The following is a 20,262-nucleotide window of genomic DNA, read 5'->3' as shown; positions in this document are numbered from 1 at the left end:
AATCAGTGGTTTTTAGGATATTCACAGGGTTGTGCAACTATCACTGCTATATAATTTCAGAACATTTTTATCACCCCTGAAAAACTCTCTGTACCCACGAAGTCATCACTCCCCATTCCTCCCTCCCTTCACTCCCTGAAAACTGCTACTAATCTGCTTTCTGTCTCTCTAGATACGCCTATTTTGGGCATTTCATATCAATGAATCATAGAATATGTGGCCTTTGTGTCTGCCTTCTTTTACTTAGCATAATATTGTAGCATCTACCAGGAAATTCCTTCTTATGACAATAGTATTCTGTTGTATGGTGATATCGCATTTTGTTTATCCATTCATTAGTTGATGGACGTTTGGGTTGTTTCCATCTGTTGGCATCTTGATGTAGTTTCTGTCATTCTCTTCTCTGTATTCTTTGACATGATTTCTATCATATAGCTTGCTTTGCATTTCACATTCTTATCTGCATTTTCCCATGTAAATAAAAACTTATGGGTACAACTTGTAATAGTTGCATAATCATATTCCATCTTGGGGCTAAATTATAATTTACCTAACCATTCCCTTGAAGTCAGGCATTTAGCTGTTTCTAATTGAAATCAGGATTTAAAAGGAGCAACAAATGAGAGAAACCTCAGAGGACCTTTCCAGAGGAGATTAAACGCCTCCAAGCCTATCTATGCCAGCAGGCTTCAGAGCCCAGTGTGGGGCAGAAATGATTTATCCCAAATTACTAAGAGGCATGGAACGGACTGGGTGAGATAAAGAAGATTCTTCTCCAGCGTGGCACGGCATATCTACCGAGGGCCTAGACCCACTCTACCCCAGACCCCCAAACATAGAGGGAGGTGTTAGAGAAGGTGGGAGAGATGATGGTGGCCTGTGCTATGGCTTGTCTCCCCACAATTTTTTCATTTAGTTGTGGAATTTTTTTCTTTATACACTTGACAGTCTGGTCTTTGTATACAATTTGAAGAGGTGCAGAACATGAATAAAGAACTTGAAATTAAAATTGCCTGGAATTGATCACTTGGAGGCAACTCCTATGAACAGTTTGGCCTATTTCTTCCCAGTCCCTTCAACACAGTTGAAGACCACATTAGATAGGCAATATTAAGATAATATTAGAGCCCAGGTGTGGTGGCTTACGCCTGTAATCCCAGAACTTTGGGTGGCCAAGGCGGGCAGATCCCCTGAGGTCAGGAGTTTGAGACTAGCCTGGGCAACATGGTGAAACTCCATCTCTACTAAAAATACAAAAATTAGCTGAGCATGGTGGTGCACGCCTGTAATCCCAGCTACTTGGAAGGCTGAGGCACAAGAATCGCTTGAACCCAAGAAGTGGAGGTTGCAGTGAGCCGAGATCACACCACTGCACTCCAGCCTGGGTGACAGAGTGAGACTCTGTCTAATAATAATAATAATAATAATAACATTAAAAAACCTGAGTTCAAAAGTAAAGTATGTTCACTGTAGAAAACAGAGAAAACCCTACACTTAGGGAAAACTAGTGCCACAATTTTGTTGTATAACCTTTCAGTGTGTAATGTCTACATGGAATATAATATGGATAAAATATTTCAGCAAAACTGGGATCAGACTGTTTTCTTTCCCCCACCTTCCATAACATTTTAGCATTTATCCTGCCAGTAGAGGTGTGCATATATATATATATTATATATATAGCATTCAGATCCTTCATGTGAGAAAGACCTTTGCAAAATATTAAGTGAAAAAAAGCAAGTTACAGAGTATGGTTATGTAATTCCATTTTTGCTTTTTTAAAAAGAGGAATATATTTATTTGTACATACTTGTATATGTGAAGAGAATCCCTGAGAAAATGACCAAGAAACTGATCCTGGGGCTTTAGATTTCAGGAATGGAGATGCGTTTTTAAGAGAAGGGGGTTTCGGAGGGGAGATTTTTACAGTTTGTATATACCCCCCTTTTTACTGTTTGACTATTTGTACTATGTCATTATATTGGTTTTGTAATTTTTTTTAAGTTTAATTGGAAAAAATAATTATATGTGATTAAATATTATATATCATTTTTAATGGCAGTATAATAATTACTGTATGGATATACCATGCAGTATTTGACTAACATTAATTCATAGACTTTTTGGAGGGGGTTCAAATTCTTTTTGTAAATTTAAATTCTGTATAACCATGGTTATTTGGTTGGGGTTAATTCCTAGCAGTAAAATTGCAAAAGTTTTTGCACCATTTTGTCAAATGCTTCTTAGCAAGTTTCAACCAAGTTATGCTCCAGCTGGTGAAGTGCCAGATGCCCCACTAACCCTTCCTCATCTAGATGGGGTACGGGAGTTAATATGGATTGGCTGTGTCCCCACTCACATATCGTCTTGAATTGTACTCCCATAATTCCTGTGTCCTGTGGGAGGGACCCAGTGGGAGATAATTGAACCGGGTGGTGGGGGGAAACCCCATACTGCTCTCGTGGTAGTAAGTCTCATGAGTGCCCATGATTTTATAAGGGGTTTCCCCTTTTGCTTGGCTCTCATTTCTCTCTTGCCTGCTGCCATGTAAGACGTGCCTTTCACCTTCCTCCATGATTTGAGGCCTACCCAGCCACGTGGAACTGTGAGTCCATTAAACCTGTCTTTCCTTATAAATTATGCAGTCTTGGGTATGTCCTTATCAGCAGTGTGAAAATGGACTAGTACAGGGACCTTCTGGTATTCTGTTCTGTTTGGCTATTCATGAATGCCCACCATGTTTTTGTTACCACAAATATGGGAGGCACACTAATGGACCCTCCAAAATGTCTACATCCGAATCCTCAGAACCTGTGACTATGTTAGGTTATATGGCAGAGGGAATAAAAGCTCCTATTCAGCTGGCCTTGAGGTAGGGAGATGATCCTGGATTATCCTGGTGGGTCGCGTGTCATCACAAGGGTTGTTGAAGTAGAGGTGGGAATCAGAAGGAGGGAACCAGAGAGGTGGCTGTATAAGAAGGCCTTGTTGGTGCGAGGTTGCTGGCTTTGAAGATGGAGGAAGGGGCTACCAAAGTAGGAAAGTAGGAGGCCTCTGGTAGCTTGGAAAGGGCAAGGAATTGGATTGTCCCCCGGACTCTCCAGAAAGGAACTCTGTCCTGCTGACATCTTGATTTTAGCCCAGTGAGACCTATGTTAGATTTCTGACCCCAGAACTGTAAGATAATAAATTCGTGTTGTTTTAAACCACTGAGTTTGTGGTGATTGGTCCAGCAGTGTAGAATACTCATATGATGTGTACAATATTGCCAACACCTATTATAGCTCTTCCCCTTGGGAGGCACTTGGCTCTTGTCTAATATTCTTCCATTGTTTGGTGCTGGCCGCAACAGTACTGCTTTCTTCTTGGTAGGAGTTGGAGGATTCCCATGTATTTGGAAGAGCAGGTCAATTTCTTTCTTTATGGCTATGAAGCACAGAAGTGGAAACACACTCTAGATTCTGATGTCTGATACTCCTCACAAAGGACTGGACCTAGAAGTTTTTTTTTGTTTTGTTTTGTTTAAATCTTTTTATTTTGAAATAATTTCAAGAATACTGCAAAGAACTCCCATATACCCTTGTATTTGTGCGTTTTGCGTTGCTCTAAAGGAATATCCGAGCCTGGGTAATTTATAAAGAAGAGAGTTTTGTCTGGCTCACTGTTCTGCAGGCCGTGCCAGCAACTGCTTTAGGTGAGGACCTCAGGAAGCTTCCACTTATGGCAGAAGGCAAAGGAGAGCAGGCTTGTCACATGGTAAGAGAGGGAGCAAGAGAGAGAGCAGGGAGGTCCCAGACTCTTTTTGACAACTAGATCTCCTGGTAACTCATTACCGTGAGGAGGGCACCAAGCCGTTTATGAGGGATCCACCCCCATGACCCAGACACCTCCCACTAGGCCCACCTGCAACACTGGGGATCACATGAGATTTGTAGGGGACGAATATCCAAACCATATCAGCCCTTCACCCAGATTCACTAGTTTTTCATGTTTCGCCACATTTGCTTTATCTATTTTTCTCTTCTCCCGTCTAAAGCATTGGAGTTGTCTATCTCATGCCTCTTTATTCCTAAATACTTCAGTATTTTTTTTCTCTAAGAACAAGGACATTCACTTAACATAATCACAGAACAATGGTCACAATCAGGACATTTAGCATCAGTACAATGCTATTATCCAATCTGCATAGCCCCAGCATTTGCCATTTGTCCCAATAATGTCCTCTTGTAGCAATTCTTTCTGCTCCCAGTCCAGGAGCCAACCCAGGATCACGTGTTGCATTTTGTTTTTATGATTGTTTAGTTTCATTTAATTTGGAACAGTTCCTCAGCCTTTATCTTCCTATGACATTGATATTTTTGAAACATTCTGGCTCATTATTTTGTAGAATGTTTCTCTATTTGGGATATCTGATGGTTGCTATGATTGGATTAGTTTATGCATTTTGGCAGGATCATGCTAGCTTTGATGTCAGGTCCTTGGTGGGTCCCGTGATGTTAGTTTGTCCCGTTATTAGTGAGGGTAACACTGATCACTTGGGTAAGTAATGTCTGCCAGGTTTCTGTACTGTTTTTCCTTTTATAATAACGTATTTGCAGGTGATATTTTGAGACTGTAAATATTCTGTTCTGTGTCAAAATTTACCTACTAGTTTTCCCTGATTCAGTTGTTTTGCAAAATTTTAAAAAACTCACTTGCTATTTTACTGTAGAGAGGAGCTTTATCCTGTGATTTATTTATTTAGTACAAATATGGATTCATGCCTTCTTACTTTGTTATTTATGATTGGCATTATTTACTTTGATACTCAGAGTGTCCCAGATTTGGATATGGCAGAGCCTTCAGCCTGGCTTCTGTGTCCATTTGACATGCATCTGTCATTTTTAGAGAATTTCCTTACTTTCTGACTCAAGAAGATGGTTCAGGCTCATCTTGTACTTTTCCTGCCCAGCCTTGGAACCAGCCATTCTCCACTAGGCCATGATATTTCTCAATGGGGAATGGCATTTAGATATCAAGATCTGGGGGCTAGATGGGCTTATTGCTACTGAGGTGTCATTACTAACAGGGCTTTTAGTGGACAAAGCTAGGAAATATACATGCCTGCATTTGTACATACAGTCACCCCTTAAACAATGCAGGGCTTAGAGGTGCCAACCTTCCCACACAGTTGAAATTCACATATAACTTTTGATTCTCCAAAAACTTAACTATTGATAGCCTACTATTGACCTGAAGCCTTACCAATAGCCAATTAACACATATATTGTATGTTATATATCTATATACCATATTCTTACAATAAAGCTAGAAAAAGAAAATGTTATGAAGACAATCATAAGGAAGAGAAAATACATTTATAGTGCCTTACTGAATTTATTGATTCCGTAAGTTTACATCATCTGTTTACCAGATGAATCGTCTGTCTGAAATGGTGCCCGAGTGTAGCTGCAGACCTCAATCTGTGGCACATATTAAGCCATGCAACTTTTTCTTATAATGTCATGACTTTCTCTGCTTCTTGGGAGAACTTCCAGCATCACTAGTGGCACTTCATAGGGATCCTATGGTGTTATTCAAGCTTTATGGTAGTGCACAAAATATGTTGAAAAATATATGAGAGCCACGAGAGACCACTTTTTACTATGATATGCAATTTACTGTAGAGACAGACTGCTCATGCAGAGATGATGAGCGGCACACGGCGTTTTAAGCTGATACTTTCAAAACTTGAGCACACTGAACTAGCAACAGAAAGTGGCTTTGAAATTATTACAGTACTACCATGTGTACTTCTGTAAATTTTATGCAGTTATGATTTAATACTGCATTTTAATGTTTGTTTATATTTCTCTTGACTGTGAATGGTGCCATGTATTATCTGCAAGGGTTTGTGTATGTAAGTTTTGATAAATCTTAATTTTTTAGGTCGGGCAGGATGGTTTACACCTGTAATCTCAGCACTTTTTGGGAGGCCGAAGTGGGCGGATCACCTGAGGTCAGGAGTTTGAGACCAGCCTAGCTAACATGGTGAAACCCCATCTCCACTAAAAATACAAAAAAATTAGCTGGGTGTGGTGGTGCACACCTGTAGTCCCAGCTACTCGAGACGCTAAGGCAGAAGAATCACTTGAAACCAGGAGGCAGAGGTTGCAGCAAGCCAAGATTGCATCGCTGCACTGAGCCTGGGCAACACTGTGAGACTCCATCTCAAAAAAAAAATTTCTTCTTAACTTTTAAAAATAATAGATTTGTGGCTGGGTGCAGTGGCTCACGGCTGTAATCCCAGCACTTTGGGAGACCAAGGTGGGCGGATCACTTGAGGTCAGGAATTCAAGACCAGCCTGGCCAACATGGTAAAACCCTGTCTCTACTAAAAATACAAAAATTAGCTAGGCATGTTGGCGCATGCCTGTAATCCCAGCTGGCTGGGAGGCTGAGGCAGGAGAATCGCTTGAACCCGGGAGACGGAGGTTGCAATGAGCTGAGATCACACCACTGCACTGGAGCCTGGGCGACAGAGAGACTCCGTCTCAATAAATAAATAAATATAATAGATTTGTGTATGTTTTATGATAGTAAATTATAAAGTAGACTATCTACACATATTTTATGCATTCATGACATACCTTTTTCTTAATTTTCTCAATATTTCTAGGCTACATGGCTCATCTGTTTTTCCAAATTGTCACAAATCTCCAAAAAAATTCCAGTATATTTAAGAATCTGCATATAAGTGTACCTACACAGTTTAAACCCATATTGTTCAAGGGTCAACTGTATACATATAATACACACTCATATTCATACATGTGTGTACACACATATATCTATGTGTGTGTACATACAGATATACATGAAATATAAATATTTCAATATTTGTCTAAAACGTAAGTTCACTCATACTGATACCTCCTCTTCTAGGCCAACATTACATGGTTCTTCCTAGCTTCTCCCATTTCTTCAACAGTGAGAAATCAAGAACCTACCTTAAGTGTTTACCCATTTGCCCAATTTTACAAGACACAAAAGTAGTTTCAGAATTGCCATGTGAAGTAGAGCTTCTGATTTGTTTGCAGTTTATTTTGTCCTTAAACTGAGGGTTTATGGTCAAAGCAGTCTGTTACTTGGGTTAGTTATTTTGTTTCCCACTTCAGCTGAATTATGTTATTCATATGAACAAGGTTCATTTGTTTTTGCTGGCATTGAATAGGGTTTCCCCCATCTTTATTGATTTAATTTTACTTTCTAAGTACTAAAACATCAAAACTATACAAAAAGGTACACTCCGAGTACGACTCCCCATGTCCCTTCTACCCATTCTCACCTGCTCCTTAAAGGCAACCAAATAAGTTTTTGGTTTATTCCTCTGTTTCTTTTTGTAAAAATAAGCAGATTTATATCTATATGCTTTCTTTCTTCTATAAAAGATAGCATGCTATAGATACTCTTTTGCACTTAATTTTCTTCACCGTATCCTGGAAATCCTGTTATGTCAGTGCACAGAGGTCTTTGTCATTCTTTTCGACAGCCGTGTGTACTCTGCTGTGTGGCTGTACCATACGTTATCCAACCGTTCTCCTCTGTATGGACATTTAGGTTATTTTCAGTGTTTTACAGTCACAAACAGTGCTTCAGTGAGTAACTGTGTGCATATGTATTTTATCACTTTGGGAAATATATCTTCAGGGTAAATTTTTGAAAGTGGGATTCCGTTAGCCAGGCGCGGTGGCTCATGCCTGTAATCCCAGCACTTTGGGAGGCCAAGGCGGGCGGATCATGAGGTCAGGAGATAGCGACCATCCTGGCTAACAGGTGAAACCCCATCTCTACTAAAAATACAAAAAATTAGCTGGGCGTGGTGGCGGGCACCTGTAGTCCCAGCTACTCGGGAGGCTGAGGCAGGAGAATGGTGTGAACACGGGAGGCAGAGCTTGCAGTGAGCCAAGATTGCGCCACTGCACTCCAGCCTGGGTGACAGAGTGAGACTCTGTCTCAAAAAAAAAAAAAAAAGAAAAAAAAGAAAGTGGGATTCCGTTAAGTGTTGGACCATCCTGAATTCCCACCAGCTGTGTAAAAGTGTGCCTGTTTCTCCATAGCTGACGGTCACTGTAAAGTTTTAAATTTTTTTCTCAATCTGATAGATGAGAAATGGTACCTTGATGTAGCTTTATTTTGCAATTTTTCCCCTCTTTTTTGAGACAGGATCTCAATCTGTCTCACTCACCCAGCACCCAATCTGTCTCACTCACTCACCCAGGCTGGAGTGCTGTGGCACAGTCTCGACTCACTGCAACCTTCGCCTCCCAGGCTAAAGTGATCCTCCCATTTCAGCCTCCCAGGTAACTGGGACTACAGGCATGCAGCATCACACCTGGCTAATTTTTTGTATTTTTTGTAGAGATGGGGTTTCACCATATTCCCCAGGCTGGGCAATTTTCTTATTATGGGTGAAGTTGAACATCTTCTCATATATTTAATGGCCATTTATAATGTCTTCTTTGTAACTTGTTCATGTCTTTTATTATCCTTTTGCTCTCAGGATTTTGGATCTTTTTTCCTCTAAAACTTAAGAATTCCTTAAATATTAGAGCTAACTGGCCCTTTATCTGTGGTATATATTGCAAGTGTTCTCTCCATGTGTCTTAGTCAGCTTAGGCTGACTAAAATACCAAAGACAAGGTGGCTTAAACAATAGGACTCTGTTTTCTCACATTTCTGTAGGCTGGGAAGGCCAGGGTCAACGTGTTGGCCAGTTCAGTTCCTGATAGGGGCTATCTTCATGGCTTGCCTTCTTACCGTGTTGTCACATGGCCAAGAGAGGACTCAGGTGTCTCTTGTTCTTCTTATAAAGGGCACCAACCCTTTTGGATTAGGACCCCACCATTGGATTAGAAGGTAACTGTATTTACCTCCTCACAGGCCCTATCTTCAAATACAATCAGATTCAGGGTTAGGGTAGGAATTTGGGGGGGGACACAAACATTCAGCCCATAACATGCTGGTTGTCATTTTCTTTTGACTTTGCTTATAGAGTTTTTTTAATACAAAAGTTTTATACATTTTAAATCTAATTTAATTATTAATCCTTTCTTTTATTGAATTTGAGTCAGGTTACATGTTTCCTTATGCCCAGGGTATAGATGAACTTATCTATTTTTTCTCTTAATGCCTATAAATACATTTTTCCTTTAGACCTCTGATCTGTTTGGCATTTAGTCTTATAGAGGGCATGATTTATCTTTTTCTAAATAGCTACTCATTTATCCTACTACTGCATATTAAAAAGTCTGTCTTTGTCACAGTGATTTGTAGTGCCACCTTTATCATACACTAAAATGTTGTGTGTCCTTGGGCCTATTTCTAGTCTGTTTCACCGCCTGTCTGTCTACTCATGAGTCAGTGCTACACTGGTGTAATTACGGAGGATTTAGAGCAGGCTTTAGTGTCTGGTAGCTTCTCTAGTAGCTTTTCTGTATCAGGGTTTCTCATAGCCATTCGTGCATTTTATACTTTTAGATTTTAAAAATTGTTTTTATTTTTAAATAGCAAAAAGTTTTTTATTTTTCATTATATTTAAATAATAAAATTATTTTATGTTTTAAAATTGATTTATTTATTTTATTTATTTGGTTTTTTGAGATGGAGTCTTGCTCTGTCACCCAGGCTGGAGTGCAGTGGCGCAATCTCGGCTCACTACAGCCTCTGCCTCCCAGGTTCAAGCCATTCTCCTGCCTCAGCCTCCCAAGTAGCTGGGATTACAGGTGCCTACCACCATGCCCGGCTAATTTTTGTATTTTTGGTAGAGACGGGGTTTCACCATGTTGGCCAGGCTGGTCTCGAACACCTGATCTCAGGTGATCCACCCACCTCGGCCCCACAAGGTGCTGGGATTACAGGCATGAGCCACTGCGCCGGACCAATAGATTTATTTTTTTAGAGCAGCTTTAGGTTTACAGAAAAATTGAGTGGGAACTACAGAGTTCCCATTATACCTCCTCTGCCCCAACCCGTCCCCAACACATTTTCCCCTATTATTAACATTTCGTATTAGTGTACAAGGGGTACATTTGTTACAGTTGATGAGCAAATATGGATAATATTTTTATTAGTCCATACTTTATATAAGGGTTCACAGTTCATTGGATTTTGATCAATACATAATGTCATGTATCAAACATTATAGTGTAATACAGAAGAGTATCACCCCTCTAAAAATCCTCTGTGCTCTACTTCTCATCCTTCCCTGAGCCTCAGGCAACCACTGATCTTTACAGTGTCTCTATCAGTTTGCCTGTTTCAGAATATCACATAGTTGGAACCATGCAGTGTGTAGCCTTTTCAGACTGGCTTCCTCCCCTTAGCAGTATGCATTTAAGGCTTTTCCCTGTGCATTTTTATTTTTCCCCATGAATTTTTGCTGACTTTTCTAACAAAAGCTTGTTGATGTTTTTGTTGGGATAATGTTAAATACATAAGTGAGCTGAGAGAGAGCCGATGTCTGGATAATGCTGAACCCTTTCCAAGAAAAGGGGATATTTTATTTGTTGAGTAATTTTGAGTGTTTTAGAGTGTTTTAGAAGTGTGTGAAGTTTTCTTCATATAGGTGTTGTTAACATTTCTTGTTAAGTTTATTCCTTGGTAGTTTTTTCTCTTCTGTTGCTACTATAAATGAGGTTTCCCCTTCCTTCCATCTTATCTTCCAGCTGGTCACTGTTTGTGTCTGTGAAGGCTGTGGACTTGAGCTTGAGAACTTGATTCTTGCAGGTCTACAGAGCAGCTTGAAGCAGGTGGTAGACTGGATTCTGGTCCAGCTTTGCCCCAACTGCCCAGGAAGCCTTGGACCAGTGACACCCCTCCTCTACCTCTCACCCTAGTTTTCTTTCTTTCAGAATGAGGGGCTGGATTAAATGTACACCATTTCCCAGAGTGTGATTCCTGTAAAAACAAAACTGATTTGTGTTTTTACCTCTTTGTCTTCCCTTTGATTGTAAAAATCAAATGCTCCTTCCCTGCTGCAGCCTGTAGAGCTGGGCTGCATGTACCCAGCCTCCCTACATGCCCTGGCCTTGTCAAATGCAACCTTTACATAAATGGGAAATGTCTCCGGCCTGTCTGCAGGAACCAGAATGGGGAGGGGACTAGCTTGTTTGTATGCCTGCTCATCCATTTATTTAATTGTTTATTCATTCATTCATGGATTCCGTCAGGCATTTGTCAGGTGTTTCCCATGTGCCATTCAAGGGGGTGCAGCGCACTGACTTTGAACTCTCTGTCTGTAGTCTAGTACGATCTCAAACTGTGGGGAGTGAGTGCTGCACGGTGCCCTGGGCGAGGGGGATTAGTGATATCTGCCTTGGAGCTGGAGAAGGCTTCTTGGAGGAGGTGTCATTGGAGCCAAGACCTGGACGTTCAGTAGGTGTTATCCAGGTGAGGAATGAAGGGAAATACGTTTTGGGCAGAGGAACAATGGTCTGGTCTCCAAGGTCTGGAGTGGGGAAAGGGCTCCATCTGTTGAGTGAACTGAGAGATGGCAAGTATGGTTGGATCGGAAAAAAAGCAGTAGGGGAGGAAGGTGCGAGATTGGTTCGGATGCTAATGCCCCTCTCAGGGTAGGCAGAGGAGCTTGGAAGCTACTGGGGCATTTTAAAGGAGGGTGTGACGAGATCAGGTTTGCAGTTTAAATGAATCTGTCTTCTACATAAGGAAAGTATCGGGCAAGGTGGTGAAAGTAGAAGCAGGGAGGCCCCTTAGGAGGCTGTGGTAATGGTCCAGGTGAGAGACAAGGACAGCTGGGATCCGAGTGGAGTTAGTGAAGATGGAGGGTCCTTTTGGAAGGGAAAGTAAAATGCATTGGGCTTGATGATAGATCCAGTGGGTTTGGAATTTTAGGATTGAGCAATGAGATGAGGAGCCCCGGAGAAGGACCAGGCTTGGAGGAAAGGTCAGGGGTTTGATCTGGGGCTGTGTTTAGGCTTGTTCAGGATGGTGGCCATTAGTCACATGTGGCTAGTGAAGTGGAACTTGTGTGACTGGGGGAGTGAATTTTTAATTTTATTGTAATTTAAATGTAAATAATAGTTGTTGGACAGCCTAGTTATAGAACATTTCCATTATTGCAGGTCTGGGTCTCAGAATAGCAATTGGTTTGGCTTCAAATCCCACTCTGCTACTTGCTTGCTGGGTGTCCTTGGGCAAGTAGCTTCACCTCTCTGAGCCTCACTGCTGTCATCTATGAAACACGGACCCTTCCATGTCTCAGGCGGTGCCTATTAAGTTTAGAGCTAAACTGTACAAGGTAGCTGGCCTAAGCAAGGCACTTGGGGTTGGTAATTGTTATTCTTTCTGTGTTTGACCTCTGTAATTTCTCTGTTTACTTTGGAAGCCAGATTTTCCTTTGGGAAGAACTCAGGTTTGACCTTGACTCAGAGTACGACCTTGGGCAAGTTCTTTCCCCTTTCTGGCCTCAGTTTTGATTGATGGCTGGGTTAGAGCAGGCCTTCATTGAGGCTTCCTGTGTGGTGAATAGAGTAAGCAGGTACTAACAACGGATCTGCCAATGTCAGAAGAGAGAACCGGAAGGAAGCATAGACCATATTGGGAGTCAGTGTGCATTAGCCTTGCCGGGTCCATCCACAGCATTTCTGGTTAGGTTCTGCCTTGTGAGAGCTCTAAACCAGAGAGGGTTGGGTGAAGAGCTCACCCAGACCCAGCCCATACCCTGAGCTTGCTCCAGGAACTGTCTTAGCAATTACCTGCATCTTTTTATTTTCTTTTTCAAAATATGGACAAGCTTTACTGACTTTTGAACTGTTGGGAAAAACTAATGTCTCATTAAAACTGTATTGCTTACTTGTAATGAAAGAAAAAAAAACAGCCCATTAAAGTTTTACACCTGACATGGAAAACTATTAAAGATTCATAATTGCAATAAAACTCTTTAATAGAATTTGAATTTTCCTTGTGATAATGCTGTAGCCAACAGGGACCTCCCTTGAAGCCGCAAGATCCATTTTAACACAGGCTTGGGAGGGTGCTGAAGGCAACTCTGAAATCGGCTTCTTTCGGGCCCTTCCCAGCGTGGCTGGTACAGGTGCACGCGCGGCCTGAGAGGATGGATTCCCGTCTCCCAGCTCAGCCTCGGGATCAGGTTGTTGGCAGCCTTCTCTCCTAACAACTTCTGGCGAGGGAGCTCGAAGCTACTGCCATTCCGCCACAGGTTCTTCCTGCCAGTTCCCTTCATCGGGCACGAATACAGCACCTACTGAGTGCATGGCCTAAAGCCCAGGGCTGGGAGGGGTAAGAAGTAGAGGAAGGGCAGGCTGGCTTTTCTTAAAGGAGAGTGTGGTATTGGTTCGTGCAGGGGCCTTGCTGGCTGGTAGAATGAAGGCCAGATCCCAGCTCTTAATGACTCTACTTCCCGTCCTCGGCTTCCTCATCTGTAAAATGGGATTAAAATATGAGTTTCATGGGTGTGGTCAATGTGTGTAGGTCAGTGGAAGCCAGAGGCAGGGCCCTGGGGAAGGTAGGTGGAAAGGTAGAGGGTGGCGCTGAGAGACACCCTGGAGGTAGAATTGCTAGATTTGGTTGGTGAGTGATCAACAGGTGAATTCAGGGATAAGCATGGCTTTCAAAAATGCATTTATTGCATTTATGGCCCCATGGAGACCCATGCAGTTACTGTATGTTAGCTACTTGTTTATGTGCTTTATACTTGTTCATTCAGTAAATATTTATTGAGCACCTACTATGTGCCAGACCCTGTTTTAAGTGTTGGTGATACACTGGGGAATGTATTAACTCATTTGTCAACCAGGTACTGATATGATCTCTATTTTCCAGAGGAGGTAACAGGCACAGAGAAGTGAAGTCAATTACCCAAGGTCATACAGCAAGTAAGTGACAGAGTGTAGAATTAGTCAGAGACTCCTGGGTCTGTGCTCAGAAACACACACCAGATGGCCACTGGTGTACTTTGCACAACACACTAGCTGTTAGTGGTCTTGTTCCCATTTTGGGAAGGAAGGCTTAGAACAATGAAATTATTTTCCTCAGGTCTCTTGGAGAGTAAGAGGGCTCCGTTAACCCAGCAAGGTCCACTGAGTGTTTCCGCTGTTACGAGGGTCCCCTCTCCTCCTGGGGCTCCTGCGCCTGCCCCAGACCTAAGGGAATTGAATTCTCTGCTTACTGGTGGTTGGCCAATTTCAGGGAAATCGGTATCCTGCCCTTATTGAAGCCCCGCCGTGCTCTTCTCAAAGTGTCTGAACATGAGCCAGTCACTCAGTGGGCTGTGGATGATGGAGGAGTCTTTCCTCTGCCTTAAAATGAAGGGCATTCCATGGTCCACCCTCCACTCCTCCATCAGTGGTGACAAATAGGATTCCCATGGTGACAAATAAAATAAAGCTGCCTTTATTCGTTTATCTTTCCTTGTCCTCCCCATCAGTGCCCTGCAAGCAAGCTGAGCAATATTAGACACTCGATCACACTTGGCACCTGTCTCTCCTATCTCCAGCACGTCCTGTCCCAGTGAGCTCTGGTGGAGGGATATGAGTGTTTCCACGGTTAGCTGTGGGTCTGGGCTTTGCTGTTGCCTTGCTCTGTGGCCCTAGACATGTTCCTGTCCTTTCTGAGCCTTGGATTCTGCATCTATAAGAGACGCCTTGGAAGGCCCCGATGGATACAGCATCTTTGCCTCTATTTTCTGCTTTATTTTCCTGTGCCGTCTAACTCTGAGTTGGTTTCAGTGGGTAGGAAAAAGCCACATTGCAATGAACAAACAAACAGAGCTCTTAGTTTTCTTTGGGAAAGAGTGAGAGTAAGATCTTTAAACATGCTGCCTCCAAATTCACTCACACCAACTGACGGGAAAGGGGAAACAAACAGAAGTGAGAACAAGAGAGGAGGAAGGCCGGGTCCCCCCATCCATTCACTATTTCCTAAGCATCTCCCGCATGCCAGTGCTGTGCTGGGGTGAAGGTGGCATAGGCTGGTAGGAAGAAGATGAGAAGATTAGGCTCAAAGGCTGGTTCATTTGTTTACTTCCAGTACGACCAGTGACCTTGAGCAAGTCCCTCAACATCTCTGAACCTGTCTCCTGTATCTGGAAGAGAAGCACATGAGAAGCCATGGAAAGCCTGATGTGTCTCAGGCTCTGTGCAGGGTGGTTCCATTTGATTCTCACAGCTACCTGGGAACTAGTGGTAGTATCATGCCCATCTTATAGATGACAAAACTGAGACTCAGGTTGTACTTGAGAGCTGTGCGGGGCCACTCAGCTACTATGTCACGGTTGCCTGGCTTTAAAACTAGAGGCTGCAATGTAGGGATGGGACTCCACACTCCACTGGCCACACGGGGTGACACTAGGACACTAGCAGCAGAGAAGACACCAGACTTGGTTGAAAGTGGTTTGTGGACTCTACATCACAGTGATCGTGTAGACAGCTCTTCTGACAGGGCTCCTAGACCTGGGGAAGCTTTCCAACAAGTAGAGGAAAAGGGAGAGAGCTGGACACAGAAAAATGGGAGCCACTCAAAACCAACTCACATGCTGCGGAGGGCCCTGTGGAGACCCTGAAGCCAGTCCTACCTAGCACTTTGGTTTGAACACAGGCTCTGGAGGAAGAAGAGACAGGAGAGGATTGAAAAGAGATTGGGAAGATGGGCTTACACGTCCCCAGTAAGTCAGGGTTTCCCAAGTGTGACTCCCATTTCACAGCCGTTCCCCAGGCAGATTGCACAGGAATCTATGCTGCCTCTTCAAATCTGGTAGGGATATATTTACTTAACAGGCATGAGGACAATGTGACTCGCACAGCCAACCTGGGATTTCACGCATATTAATGCCTAGGATGAGGCTGAAGTAAGTGGGATGCTGGGTAATTCCTGCGACTCAGGTTGCATAAGTGCCAGGTGCCAGGCTCAGGGTGAGGGAAGTGACCTAGGTTTGGAAGCCACAACACTAAATCAGCCCCCATAAGAGCCACTGGTCCCAGAGGTGACTGATACCTCCACCCCAGGGTGGCTAGATTTTCAGTAATAAAAACACAGGATGCTCATTTAAATTTGAGTGCAGATAAACAATGAATATGTTTTTTAGTATGTATATGCCCTATGCAATATTTGGGACATATGTATATTTTTAAAGCATTTGTTTTTCTGAAATTCAAGTTTAACTGGGCATCCTATATTTTATCCGGCAACCTTCCCCCAGCCTCATAGAAGGCCACGTCGATGCTCATAGAATTGAGTTGTTCCCTCCCCTCACTGCCCTCCTGGCCTGGACCCATAGAAAGAGGCTTGCATACAGAAGGATGCCCTTCCGTAGCTGGTCTCTTGGATGCCCGTTCCTTTAACTAAACTGCAGGGATGATATAAAGTGTGTTAAAGGGAAGATTAAAATTGATGCCCTTAGCGCAACGAAAGCGAAAGCTATTGAGGGGCATACTTAAGGAAACAAAGCCCTTGCGCGATGAAGAGTGCAGCCAGCTCCAGCTCAGAGCAGCAGGTGGAAATGGAGAAGATTCCTGCCCAGCAGAGATGAGAGATGGAGCTGCCACGTGGGGAGGTGGTTTAGCAAGTTGGGTGCCAGTGAGCCCAGCAGGAATGAGTTTCTCCTCCACTCTCAGTAAGGCCTGAGTACCTGGGAGAGCTGCACAGCTCTGCCTCTTAGCATCAGCGAAAGCCAGCTGGGAGAGAGAGGGGAGGAGGGAGCTGCAGAGGCGAGATAGGGAAGGGCAGTATCCACACCTGCATGCATAAGCACTGATTGAGTGCTTGCTGAGTACCAAGCCCCGAGCCAGGTGTTGGGTCTTGTCTCACGCTCTTTACAGGGAGACCAGCCAGGGCTGCCGAAGTTCTCAGGGGCCCTGGCTTCTCAACCGGGGAGCTCAGAGACATAAAAAGGGAGAAAGAGAATTGCAGATATTGCTGGGGGCATGGTGAAAGCATGTGGCATTGAGATGCTGCTGACTTTAGGTATTTGGAGAAGGACAATCCTGGGCTAGGACTCCCTTTTTACTCCCAACGAAAGTGAGGCACAAAAGCTATTGTGGGTTTTGTGGGGCCATGTGGCACGGAAGTGATAGAGTTAGCATTTGAACCCAGATCTGATTGTCTTTGAAACCATTAGCCATAGTGCTTTGCTTCCTCCTAGATTATGAGGGGTCATGGGAGGTGTTTAAGCAGGGAGAGATGTCATCAAAGCAAAAAGTTGATGAAATTAATCTGACACTGGCGGGGCGCGGTGGCTCACGCCTGTAATCCCAGCACTTTGGGAGGCCAAGCCGCGTGGATCGCCTGAGCTCAGGAGTTTGAGACCAGTCTAGGCAACATGGCAAAACCCCACCTCTACTAAAATACAAAAAGTTAGCTGGGCGTGGTGGTGTGCACCTGTAGTCCCAGCTACTCAGGAAGCTGAGGCATGAGAATTGCTTGAACCCAGGAGGTGGAGGTTGCAGTGAGCCGAGATTGCGCCACTACACTCTAGCCTGGGCAACAGAGGGAGACTCAGTCTCCAAGAAAAAAAAAAAAAGAAATTAATCTGGTACTATGTCTGGCCAGTTTAGATGTAAATGCACAGTGATGAGGATGCTAGCTCGCTCACGTGGGAGGGAGCAGGTAGGAACCGAGGTCAGGGGGCTGATGGGGGTGGAGGACGGGATTTGCTGAAGGATCTGCTCAGGGGGGTAAAGGCAGAGTTGATGATGAGATGAAGTTTTCAGATCTGGCTGCTGCAGGCAGGGTCAGGGAAAGGATGGCAGCACAGTAGCTTTGGACACGCTGGATTTGAAGCGATATCACGTGGTCCCCAAACAGCGCTCCGGGCAGCAGCCCAGCAGTAGAAAGCAGAGGGGCCTTGGTGCTGGCCTGACCTGGATGTGCAAATCAGCACTCCTTTTCACTAGCACTGTGACCACAAACTATGTGCTTAACCTTTCTGAGCCTCAGTTTCCTCTCTAGTGAAATGGAGAGCTATGATACTTACTTTATAGGATGTTGGTGATATTAAGGAGAAAACATATAAAGGGACAAAGAAGGCTGGTGTAATGTGCATCTCTGAGCTGCAGCAGAGATGGTCCTGGAGTTGGAATAGATGGAAATGCGTGTCTTTTTATTAATCTGATTTTATTTTTTAATACAGAGTCTTGCTCTGTCACCCAGCCAGGCTGGAGTGCAGTGGCACGATGTCGGCTCACTGCAATCTCTGCCTCCAGGGTTCAAGCAATCCTCCTGCCTCAGCCTCCCGAGTAGCTGGGACTACAGGCGCACCACCTCGCCGGGCTAATTTTTGTACTTTTAGTAGAGACAGCATTTTGCCATGTTGGCCAGGCTGGTCTTGAACTCCTGACCCCAAGTGATCTGCCCACCTCAGCCTCCCAAAGTGCTGGGATTACAGGCATGAGCCACGATGCCTGGCCTCATCTGATGATTTTTTTAATTCCTACTGTGTGCTGGGCCCTGGGGATACAGTGTGGAGAGGCTGATGGGGAAACTCAGTCATCACGCAAAGCTGAGCTCACCCTTGATCGTGAGCTAAATGGAACAGGAGCAGATTATCCTGCTCAGCACAACATCCCAGCACACAGTAGGCATTGCAGTAAATGGTGGTGAATGCTTGAAATGCAGCACAGACCCCACTCTGTTAGAGTCATGGAGGCAGAGGCAGCAAGCCTCCCCTGAGTGTCAAAGCCGGTGCAGAGGAGAGAGGTAAAGTCTGTCTTTGTAACCACTTTCTATACTGGAAACTCCCAACTGGGGTGAGGCATTCAAGAAAAGCCGGGGAACTGGGGAGCAGGGTTTTGGTTCTCAGCCTGGTAATCCCATCTTCTTTTCTCCCAAGCTCCCATTTGTCTTACCTTTTCCAAATCTTTGAAAAATGCTGGATAAACCTACAGGAGTTGATCATGTGCTCTCAGCAGGCTGGGAAACTGGGGAAAAGGAAAAACAGCCAAGAATAACCAGCATTGTGAGGCTGCCCTTCAAGGCCTCAGTGGCACATGACCCTGGGCAGCCCTTTCCCGTCCTTGGACCTCAGTTGACCCATTTGTGAAAGGAACCCCGAGTTTAAAGGTGCGGTCCCATCATACCCTGCAGCATCTTCCCTTTCAACCCCTTCTATTTCTGTCACATATTTGTTTTTATTGGAAGGCTAGTTTTATTTTTTGCCTCTGTTTTTACATTCCTTCATTAAAAGTATTTTTGTAAAAAGAGAGGATCTTGCTCAGTTGTCCAGGCTGGAGTATGGTGGTGCAATCACAGTTCACAGCAGCCTCGAACTCTTGGGCTCAAGCAATCCTCCTGCCTCGGACTCCCAAGTAGCTAAGGACTATAGGCACACACGACTGTGCCCGGCTATTATTATTTTTAGAAATGGAATCTCACTATTGCCCAGGCTGGTCTGCAACTACTGGGCTTAAGTAGTCCTCCCACCTTATTCCTCCAAAGCTCTGGGATTACAGGCATGAGCCACTGTACCTGCCAGAAATATTTTTTTAATTACAAAATAAAGCTGCCTCCTTGTAAGAATCTAAGCCATATGTACTGCTTTAACGGAAAACTAATTTTCTCATTTATTGCTGTTTCTTTTAGTAGATTAAAGTTTTGTTTACATTTTAAGGTAATATAAGAATGCATGGTTGAGGTAAAAACCTCAACAAAGTACAAGTGTAGGAGGAAAATTACGGATGTCCACCTTCATGGCTTGCCTCATCCTACCCCAGCTTCACGCCCACCTTGGCCCTGAGATGACTGTTGTTTCTAGATAAGGGGACCCTTGGAATGTCATCGTAGACCCACCCCTCAAAGCCATTGCTGAGTCATGGGGACATGCCCCCTTTTGATGACAAGAGCATGGACTCTGGGTCAGGATCAGAAGGCCAGCACTGCTATTGACTTGCTGTGTGACCCTCAGGCATCCTCACATCCTCTCTGATCCTGGATGACCTCCTTGACAGGCTGGCCCAGAGGAGAATTGGGATCTGGGCTGTGAAGTCCCTAGTGTGAATCCTGCAAACAGCCCAGGTGACTGTATTGTGTGGTGATCTTGGCAGGTTGGGGACCAGATTCTAGAAGTGAATGGGCGGAGCTTTCTCAACATCCTACACGACGAGGCTGTCAGGCTGCTTAAGTCATCTCGGCACCTCATCCTGACAGTGAAGGACGTCGGGAGGCTGCCCCATGCCCGCACCACTGTGGACGAGACCAAGTGGATCGCCAGTTCCCGGATCAGGGAGACCATGGCGAACTCGGCAGGGTCTG

General features: G+C 44.1%; 1 protein-coding gene across 29 annotated transcripts in view, besides 2 other annotated features; it reads left to right on the top strand.

The window, feature by feature from the left end:
• Window positions 1–20,262, top strand: part of WHRN (whirlin) — a 103,394-nt gene that overhangs the window by 59,006 nt on the left and 24,126 nt on the right. For all 29 annotated transcript variants that reach the window (XR_929757.3, XR_929750.4, XR_929749.3 and 26 more), the window contains one exon: window positions 20,055–20,257. Coding sequence is in view for 21 of the 29 variants with exons in the window: in XM_047423168.1 (XP_047279124.1) it covers window positions 20,055–20,257 (203 nt within the window). In the remaining 8 variants the exon portion in view is untranslated. The remainder of the gene's footprint in view (window positions 1–20,054; window positions 20,258–20,262) is intronic.
• Window positions 11,140–11,639: an enhancer, noted in NCBI's record as "H3K27ac-H3K4me1 hESC enhancer chr9:117197109-117197608 (GRCh37/hg19 assembly coordinates)". NCBI's record gives its function as "activates a minimal SCP1, AML or CMV promoter by ChIP-STARR-seq in naive H9 embryonic stem cells {active_cell/tissue: H9 hESC(naive)}" and the evidence as "EXISTENCE:reporter gene assay evidence [ECO:0000049][PMID:30033119]".
• Window positions 11,455–11,574: an enhancer, noted in NCBI's record as "active region_28866". NCBI's record gives its function as "activates an Ori minimal core promoter by ATAC-STARR-seq in GM12878 lymphoblastoid cells {active_cell/tissue: GM12878}" and the evidence as "EXISTENCE:reporter gene assay evidence [ECO:0000049][PMID:35858748]".

The sequence above is a fragment of the Homo sapiens genome, chromosome 9 (genome assembly GCF_000001405.40).
Source record: "Homo sapiens chromosome 9, GRCh38.p14 Primary Assembly".
Classification (NCBI taxonomy): domain Eukaryota; kingdom Metazoa; phylum Chordata; class Mammalia; order Primates; family Hominidae; genus Homo; species Homo sapiens.
Note: the sequence above shows the minus strand (reverse complement) of the source record. Positions and strands in the feature narration are given on the sequence as shown.